The sequence below is a fragment of the Homo sapiens genome, chromosome 9 (assembly GCF_000001405.40).
Source record: "Homo sapiens chromosome 9, GRCh38.p14 Primary Assembly".
In the NCBI taxonomy this organism is placed as follows: Eukaryota; Metazoa; Chordata; class Mammalia; order Primates; family Hominidae; genus Homo; species Homo sapiens.
In genome coordinates, this window is record NC_000009.12 from 108,542,664 (window position 1) to 108,552,721 (window position 10,058).

The 10,058-nt window shown below is 44.0% G+C and overlaps 1 annotated feature.

The window, feature by feature from the left end:
* Positions 8,586 to 9,087: an enhancer, noted in NCBI's record as "H3K4me1 hESC enhancer chr9:111313529-111314030 (GRCh37/hg19 assembly coordinates)". NCBI's record gives its function as "activates a minimal SCP1, AML or CMV promoter by ChIP-STARR-seq in primed H9 embryonic stem cells {active_cell/tissue: H9 hESC(primed)}" and the evidence as "EXISTENCE:reporter gene assay evidence [ECO:0000049][PMID:30033119]".

The window sequence follows — 10,058 nt, forward strand, 5'->3', positions numbered from 1 at the left end:
ACTGCTAGTCCCAGACACAAATAAAATAAAATTGTAGTCCCGCTGAATATTAAGGAAAAGTGGGGAGCAGCAATGATGTCATTAAACACAGGAAATCAGGCCTGGATGCTATTGAAATGTTTTAAATAAATGCACTCCATCATTGATCAGGCACCTCTTCTAGGTGGCAGTGGGGAAACTGAGGCACAGGCCCTCAGTTGAAGGGAAACCACCATCTTGTGAAGAGACCAGAAAACAGGGCAGATGTTAAAACCATGTGTCCTGAGGTGTGAGGTAAGCTCAGAGAACACCTGAGCCAAAATCAGGTGATCTGGGACAAGTACCTCAAAAAAGCTTTAATGATTGGAATCCAAGGGCGCACCGCCCAGAAGCAGAATGAACCCCCTCCAATTTGCTGCAAAGTGCCCAAGTTCACCTTTCATTCTTGCCCCAGGGATCGGCAGCCCAGGGAAACAGTTAGCTGTGCTCTTGTCTTTGCCCTTGTCTCTCGGGTGTACTTGTCATTCCCACCTGCTGCTGTGTTTATATTCTTCTGCGAGGCCATCAGCTTCTCGGCACAGGGGCTGAAGGTGATGGAAGTGGTGGCTGCTGCTGCTAACATCAAGTGTGAGCTCTCAGAGCTAATTCCACTAGGAGATACTCACACCCACCTCCCAGGGGTGGCACCTGGGAGTGTCCAGGAGGAAGAGTCAAGCCCGAAGAATGCCTAGACCATTGTTAAGGAGCTGCTCCTCCCCGCTGCTCTTTGTGTCATTTAGGCCAGGAGGATTAGGGCGTGTTTTGAGGTTGGCCTGGGGGGATGCCCCATTTCCCCAAACACAGAATGCAATTACAACAGAGGGAGGTCACAGGGCCTGATCTTGTAAGCAAATAATGCTGTCACTAGAGACGGAGAAACTAATGATTTATGTCATTTCCCTCTAACTCCTCACTTTCACGAAGCCCCATTACTCAGACCTGGGACAAAGGTCTGAGTAAGCTGGGGTCCCTCCCACACACAAGCCATGACATGATGAGCTGTTTCAGGCCATGTGCCTTCTGCATGGAGTTCCCTACCTCCACTTCTGTGCCTCAGGGAAGCTCCTACACATCCCATAAGGCCCCATTCAACTGTCACCTCCTGCCTGTAATCTGGACTAATCAGTAGAACTAACTGAATTACAGCACCAAGCCCTGAACTGCCATAGGTCAGCTGCAAACGGGCTGGGCATATTCGATGCCATGAAGAAGTAAGGGTTCTTATAGCAAAGAAGAAAATGCAAAGGAGTATTAGGTAGGAAATAAATAGCGCCTGCCATCAAAATAGTGCATTTTGTACTCCCCACCCATCATTTTCTCCTTTTGGTGACCATAAGATATATTAACATATTAAAGTTTTGAAAACTCTATATATCTTGTTCTACCCAAACTTTCCCTCACTCATATGGCCACAGGATGGATGTTTCTTTCACTTTTTTTTTTTTTTTTTTTGAGATGGAGTTTCGCTTTTGTTGCCCAGGCTGGAGTGCAATGGCATGATCTCCGCTCACTGCAACCTCCGCCTCCCAGGTTCAAGCAATTCTCCTGCCTCAGCCTCCCGAGTAGCTGGGATTACAGGAATGCACCACCACACCCGGCTAATTTTGTATTTTTAGTAGAGACGGGGTTTCTCCATGTTGAGGCTGGTCTCAAACTCCTGACCTCAGGTGATCTGTCTGCCTTGGCCTCCCAAAGTGCTGGGATTACAGGCGTGAGCCACCGCGCCCGGCCTCTTTCAATTTTTTATAACACCTATTAAAATTCTTTAGAAAACACGTTTGAGAAATGCTATCATCTATTTGAGACACGTAACATTTCTAGGAGATAAACATAATTATTCCCATTTTATAGATGATGAGATTGAGGCATCAGGTGATCAAGTAAGTTGTAAAAGTTTACCCAGCTAGGAAGCAGCAGAATCTGGGATTGGAAGCCAAGGCTTCCAACTCCAAGCTAGGTCTTTTTCCATTAAAACCAGATAGGTAGAGAAACAAAGAAACTAAGAGAAGAAAGACAGGTGGATTGTGCTGAATATAAGCAGAAAGAACTGCAAAAAGGAGAGGAAGTGAAGGAAAAAGGGCCTCTTCTGTTAAAGATAGGTCTAAGACAGCAGACAAAGGGCAAAGAGTGGCACTAGTGGCCTCAACTCCATTGGGACCTAGCAGGGGACTGAGTAAAGTGAGGCATTCAGGAAAGGGCCTAGGTCTTTACAGGCTTCTGTCTTTCCTTCCTTTGTTCAACAACCTAGCATTCATGTAACAAATTCTGATTGAGCATCTGCTCTGTTTCAGTCCTTGCTGGATACCAGAGAGAGGACACAGCTTTTAGCCTCTAAAAGATTCCACTCTCCCCAGATAACACGGACTTGTGACCACAGAACCCTTCTAACAATTTCCCTGAACACCCAGGACTCTTGCAGGCTGCCATGCTTTGCACATTCCATTCCTTTCCTGGAGAAAGTCTTTCCCATCTTCGCTTTCTAGAAAAATCTTGCTCAATTTTCCAAGCCCAGCTACACATGGCCCATCTCTGATGCAGCCTGTCCCAGATCCCCCATGGACAATGTGGCTATGGAGCCCCTGAGTCCCTTCTTAGGCTGCCCTGGCTTCTGCCACAGCTCTGTGCACTGTGGTCCGTGTAGAGGAGTTCTCATTCAGAGAGAGTTGGCCCTGAAGGAGTGGACTAAACGAGGGAAGCTCCCACAGCATGAAGAGCACCATCTTCCCAAGTCATCTTCACTTATGTTCCAACTCAAAGCAAGGGAGCAGAGCACAGCTGTGCAATGATGGGAAAGGTGTATACTGATCAGTAATCCTTATGGAAGAGAAAATAGTGAAGAGGAGGGAGGGGCTCTGTATGCCTTTGTAAATCAAAAGCACCCCAGACAGTATTTACTGCCTCAATTCTGTCAATAATGTATCATCGTCACAGCTCCATATGTCAGAGTTGGAAGTTAACATTCCAACATTCTGTTCCCTTTAGTAATGCTTGGATCTGGAGGATATGTGCTGGTCTGGAAAAAATTTTAAAAAGACTCAAAAAGGGCTGGACACGGTGGCTCATGCCTGTAATCCCAGCATTTTGGGAGGCCAAGGCGGGAAGATCACCTGAGGTCAGGAGTTCAAGACCAGCCTGGCCAACACGGTGAAACCCCGTCACTACTAAAAATACAAAGATTAGCCGGGTGTGGTGGCGGGCACCTGTAATACCAGCTGCTTGAAAGGCTGGGGTAGTAGAATCACTCGAACCCCAGAGGCGGAGATTGGAATGAGCCAAGATCACGCCACTGCACTCCAGCCTGGGTGACAAGAATGAAACTCTGTCTCAAAGATAAAAAAAATTTTTTTTTAAAAGTCCTAAAAGAATTTGTCAGAGCCTGTATATCCCTGCCCCAGTAGCCAACACTGATCCTACGTGACAACAGCCTTCTGGTTACTAGAGAGAAGATTCCACTGTGGAGCAGGATTCACTGTCTCTCCAAACCCTTTAATGCCATCTGCTTTGCTTTCATGTTCACCAACATACTACTGAAGATTAATTTCCTTGCCTTGCTAGCCTGCCAGTATAACATAATTACTAGGAGCATGGGCTATGGTATCAAACTTGGCAGTATTCAAAACCCAGCACCACCATTTTCTTAGGAACCTTAGACAACTAACAATCTCTTGGAGGCCTACTTTCCTTATCTCTGAAATTGTAACAGAGAGAAATACCAACGTTTTAAGTCAGTTGTGGGATTAGATAACGTAAGGCACAGCAAGTACACAGTGCTTGGCAGACAGTAACCCCTCAGTAAAGGGCAGTTATTATTAGTAGTATATTTTTACTGTTACTTCCTTGATACAGTGTCTAGAACATATCTAGATTTTCTATCTTATAAATTCAGGCACTGACATTCAGCTTCTACCAGCTAGAGTGAGAGCTAAGAATTCACTCAGCATGACAGTGAGCTTGATAAGGTTTAGGAATAATGACTAGCTAGTGTTCTTGGACCTCAAAACCTTGGGTCAGTCCCCTGTGACATTACTGTCCTGGCATCAACTTCTGCTCCACTCTGTGGCCCCTCATTCCCACCCCATTGGCCGATCACCCTTGCTTTTGAAAAGCTCTAGGTTGCTTTCTCTGTTTCAATGAACTTCAAACGCTCTTTCATGTGAATGGCCCCCTACCAGAATATTAGCATGTGGAGGCCAAGGCACTGTTTTCCCTGTCTCTAGAGCTCAGCACCTGGCCCAGAACAAGTCTTACTGTGTATGGAATGGACAAATGACTTTAGCAGGAAGTCACAAGTGACTTGATGAAGATATTATTATTTAGGTCCATGAATGACAGTGTTCGATGAGACCAAAATGGAAGAAAACATTAGTTCCTTTTGTAACTTGTTTTCTTAGTTCTAATTATTTCAGAACATGCATTATTCCCACAGTGTCCCATCCTCTCCTCTTCTTCCCATTGCTCTTTTTAATCTTCACATCCCACTTCTGCCTCTTATGTGGAAAGCCCAAAGTGGAAAGATCAATGAGGAAAATGAGTACTGTATGGACTATCATCAGCATTCATCCACCCTGAGTTCAAGAGGCATCCCCCTGTGGAGAGCTCAGTAAGAACTCAGTCAAACCTAGACTGTCCATGAAGCACCACGGGTTAATAAATAAAGAACAGAGGAATAAGAGATTAAGACACTAAAGGAATATAAGATAAAGTTAGAGAAACCCAAGTAGCTGCCCAGGACACTAGCTGTATTAGGATGCCAAATAGGTCCCCCAAATCTCAAGGACTTAATACTACAAAAATTTCTTTCTTGATCATAACACATATCTCATGCAGGTCAGGAGAGGGCTCCATCTGGTTATGCAAGGACCCAGCCTAGCAGGGGGAAGAGCCATGATGTTGTGACACCACCATCCTAACACATGGCTTCAATGCTCACCATGACAAAGGAAGAGAAAGAAGAGGAAACTCACCCTCACTTCTAAATATCTTGGCCCAAAATGACAAACATCACTTCCACCCACAGCCCATTGGATGGACCTACTCAAGAAGCAGGACCTACTTCTTGAACTGCAAGAAGACTGGCATGTGAGGCCCTTCTAGATGCTCCAAAGGAGAGAATATGAGAATATGCATAACTGAAGTCTCTACCACAAATTTTGAAACATCATGGGAATCAGTAATAAGGTCGGTAGTAAACTCAGATTTCCATGTATAGAACTGGTAAAACAGAGAGCACCCTCAAGTGGAAATTTTACAATCGCGACTCACTGGGATCACCCTGTTAATAATGAGGTTAGTTTCATTATGGACATTGCTCAGTACAATCGTGGCCTACCCACCTATCCAAAGACCAGTCAACTGATTTTCCCTGGAAGCTAGCAGAAAATCTGAAACCAAATCATACCTAGGGTCATGCTGTTTATTGGCAATGGGTGATTTTGTGTACTACTTAAAATTTAATTCCATTAACAGGCTTCCCAAGAAGTTGTCTGGATCAGAAAATCAAACCAAAAAAGCTTAAGAGAGTGAAAAACAGAAAAGTGAGACATTTTTGGTAAAAGGTAAACCAGGAATAGCAAATTTTAAAGCTCTTCTGAATGAGATTGTGCAACTATATTATTGGAAGTTACCTTCATCCTTCTGAGTTTTAGTGACTTATGCTATCCATATATAGTGATGGAAAAACTAGGACCTAGATGGCTATTTCAAATACACTGAAATATTATATTAGAGGCAATGCATATAATGAATTCCTTGTTTTATTATTTTTTAATGATTATTACTGATACAGGGTCTATCACCCAGACTGGAGTGCAGTGGCACAATCTTGGCTCACGGCAACCTCTGTCTCCTGGGCTTATGAGATCCTCCCACCTCAGCCTCTTGAGTAGCTGAGACTACAGACATGCATCCCTGCACCCTGGCAAATTCTGTGTTTACAATGTTAACATAGAGTGAAATAAATTCAGTATAATAGAGAATCGGCTTCTCTCCTCCTTCACTAAAATAAATATTGAGCAAATATCTTTAAAACATTGATAAGAACAGATGCCAAATTAGCCATCTGAGGCATCCCACATCTCACCCCAGGCCTGGGCACAATATAGGTCTAATGGAGCCAGAGGCAACTCTATCTTTCTGTAGGCACAAGGGAGGCATCTTGATGCAGACAAAGACATTGGATTTGCATCCAACAGCATATAAGTACTGGCGAGGCAAGTTACTCGCCAACTTGGACAACCTATTTAAACTAGCAAATGGCAATAAGAATGCTTATCTTATCAGATTATTTATTTGGTGAAATAAATAAGCTATCAAATATATATCTCCCAGCATGAACCTGCCTGGTAGATAATAGAGCTTTAGTATCTAGACCTAAATCGATTGACTGTTGTTGCAGGCAGGAGACTTGAACTTCAGCCAAGCAAGATCAACATGAAGTGGGACAATTCAACAAACTATGCCTCAGCTTTCCTTTCCGCAAAGTAGAGATGACAACAATTGCTTCCACCTTCACAAGAGAGCTATGAAGATGACCAAGATAAAGCAGGAAAGACCTCTGAACTCTCAGGAAAAAAGACACTAGAGAAATCCACACTATTATTACCTTTGCTGAGTAATAATAGGGGATTTTCCCAACCAGGAAACAGCTCTCTACTCTTGAGAATGCTCACTGTCCATATCATGCAAATGCTACAGTGCTGACCTATTTGCCAATGTCAAGTAAAATCTTGGCAGGGCTGTTAGTTAACCAAGTTCATTATCCTTAAAGACAAAGTATCAGGTGAACAGGAAAATCCCGAGAGGGCCTCCCTCCTGCATTCTGAGTGTAGGAGTGACTGAACAGGTTTGGTGCTGAGTCGTCAGCAACAAAAGAGAACTAAACAAAACTTTACGCATCCAGTTTAGTTTGCATGCTTTTCGGACATCCCTGGGGTTTCCCATTTCCTGTTCCCAGTGTCCAGTGGAAGAGCCCTTTTCTCCTAGGGACCACAGATCCAGCACCACTTTTCTTAATGACTTATATTTGCCAACTGGCCGACAAGCAATCCAGGAGCTGCCCTTGTAGAGCCAAGCATGAGATTTCACTCAAAAAAACACAACAAAAACAAAAAAAAAAACAAAAAAAAAAACCCACATGCAGCATTTGTTACTTCTACAATGGGAAAGAAACATTCACGAAAACTTAATTTTGAGCTGAATTAGAGCCCACTTTGGCAAAGGGGGGAAAAATGTGTTTTCACGTTTGCTCCAAATGGTAGCAAACCTCTGCACAGGCCCACAGCCTAGAAGAGGCAGCTCATAAAATCTTCTTTGAAACTTTTTAGTAAAACAAAACTCATTTCTATAGGACCAATCCCTCCTGAAAACACCATGGCAGATCCTTGCTGGCCTTCTGAACAGTGAGCACACCCCTGGGAATAACACAAGTCCCTGTCCTTAAAGAAGCGGATGTCTCTGAGCACTGTCTCATTAATCTTCATGACCAAGCTACAACGAAGTCAAAAACAGTCATTATTTTTTCCCATTCTGCAAATTTTATGGGCTCCAACACTTGCCTGAGGTAACAGGACACATTTGCGGCAGAGTCAGGCCTCCAGGACTGGCCAGCCTCCTGGGAAATTACTGCTTTTCAGCAAGTTCTTGTGTCATCATACGGCCACTCATTTGTTCACATGCTGGACAAGCATTCACTGGATGCTGACTCTGTGCCAGCCACTGAGCTTCATGCCAGGATGGACAACTGATTAATAGGAAAGGCCCTGCCCCAGATAAATTTACAATTTAGGAGGCAGAGGCTGGCAAGTCAATAGATAATTACAAGAAGATCTGAGAACCACAGGCAATATAACTGAGTGGTGAGGAGCACGCTAGGTGTAAAGCAGACCTGGGTTCAAATTCCAGCTCAGCCTTACATTTGCATTTTTTTCATAGTACTTATCTCCTTCTAACATTCTACATATTTTACCTCTTTATTGTTTATACACATATACATGCATGCACGCACGCACGTGCACACACACACACACACACACACAAGAATAAAAATTATATGAGGACAGACATCTTTGTCTGTTCAGGGATGTATCTCCAGGGTCTAAAACAGTACCTGGCATGTAGCAGGAGTTGAATAAATATCCGTTGGATGAGTAAATTCACTATGTGTCCCTAGGAAATGTACTCATCCTCTTTGAGCTTCAGTTTGCTTGTCCATACTAAAGGGGACGCCAAGGTGATGGGATTAGATAACATATAAATGCCCGGCAAAGAGCCCAGCAAAGATTATCATAAGCAAAATAAATGGCTATTCATGTTCAATATTGATAATACAGTGGGCTTCAGTGCTAAGAGGGTCTTAATGAGCATCAGTAGTCTCTGCTTGGGAGTGTCAGGGAAGCTTGCCATGTTGAGTGCTGAAGGATGAGTAGTACAATGTTGCTAGAAGAAAAGAAGAAAGAAAAAGGACACAAAGCAGCAAGGAAGGCAAGACAAAGGCTGCGAAGCCTTCATGCTGCTCTCAAGCCCTACTGTCTAAAACACCATATCCCATTTTTGCTCACAGCCATCCATCCCTGTGCCCTTGACAACTCCTATACTTGAGGGGTACTATCTCCAGGATCAGTTTCAGGACCCAGCATAGAGCAAACGTCCCCTAATTCCTCCTACACAGAGGCAGATTAGTCTTCAAAGATATTGCAGCGTTGGCCTTTCCTTGGGGCCCTTGCCACGGGCTGGATTCTGTGTGCTCAGTATAAATCCACAGAGATGAGGCTGGCCATGTAGTGACTGCAAGAAGTAAAAGAAGCTTTCCGCTCGATGACACATCTCTGATTCAGTCTGCCCTGACAAAGCTGGAGATTAAGTTTCCTTGCCTAAAGCTGCAAGGAGAAACATGACACCCTTTGCTGGCTACAAGTGGAACACGCTTTATTAACCCAGCCTTAATTATATTCCATTTTGAGATTCAATAGTTTCGATTGCAACACTGCATGAAACCAGGGTGACTTGCACCCCATGGGACTCTGTCCATAAATGAAAACGGAAAAGTGCCTTGAAGGCAGTGACCCGCTTATGCCAGCCAGTCAGAGACGCAGCCTAGAGCCTGTGCCTGGCTCCGGGGGAGCCCCAGAGGTGGCCAAATCAGGGCAGGGCTGGGTCCATAGTCAACTGGGTAATGGGAAGGTGGCTTCTATTTATGAAAGAAATGATGGCTCTCTCTGAAAAGTCTGAAGCGAATGTGGCAGGAGTTGCATATAGCCTAACATGCATGCAGCTCTCACCTCACAAATGAAATTCTTTTTCATCTGATCATCACATTCTCTCTTTTCCTCTCCCAGTTTTGAGGAAAAAAAAAAGCAGATTACCTTTCTTTTTTGTATACAGATTACAGTCTACCCTATCTGAGGCAAGCGAGCTAACCTTGTATTCTTTTTTTGAGGTCAAATTTTCTGCAAATATTTTACATGCCTTCCTACGCTTTTCAAATAAGGTAACTGAGGCAGTTGATTGGTCCGAGGGCTGAGTGTCTCCATTATAATACTAATAGCTACCTATTATTGAGCATTTACTATATGCCAAGGAATATGTGAAGGGTTCTATGTGAATTATCTCATTAAAGCTTCGCAACAGCTTTAAGGGCCAACATGTGCATTTCATTTTTCTCATTCCCACAGTGAGAAAAAGGCAGAAGAGAGACTCCCACCCAAATCTACATGAAGCCCAAGTTTGCACCCTTCTTGCTACACTCTGCCTCCACTGCACTGCAGGATCGAGAGGACAGGGAGGATGCCTGAGTCATACTACGTCCCCCAGCACCTGGGAGAAGTCCTGATGAATGGCAGACCTCAGTAATGTTTGGTTAGTTAATTAATTAATTAGGTAATTTTAAAGAACCTTAGACTGGGAACAAAAGGGTTAGTTGGAAGCCAGCTCTGACAGTAATAAGCCACATGGATTTGAGCCAGGTACTTCCCCTATGGGCCTTGGCCTTCCCATTTGAACAGTGAAGCAGCTGGACTAGATGACCTCTGATGGTACCTGATTCA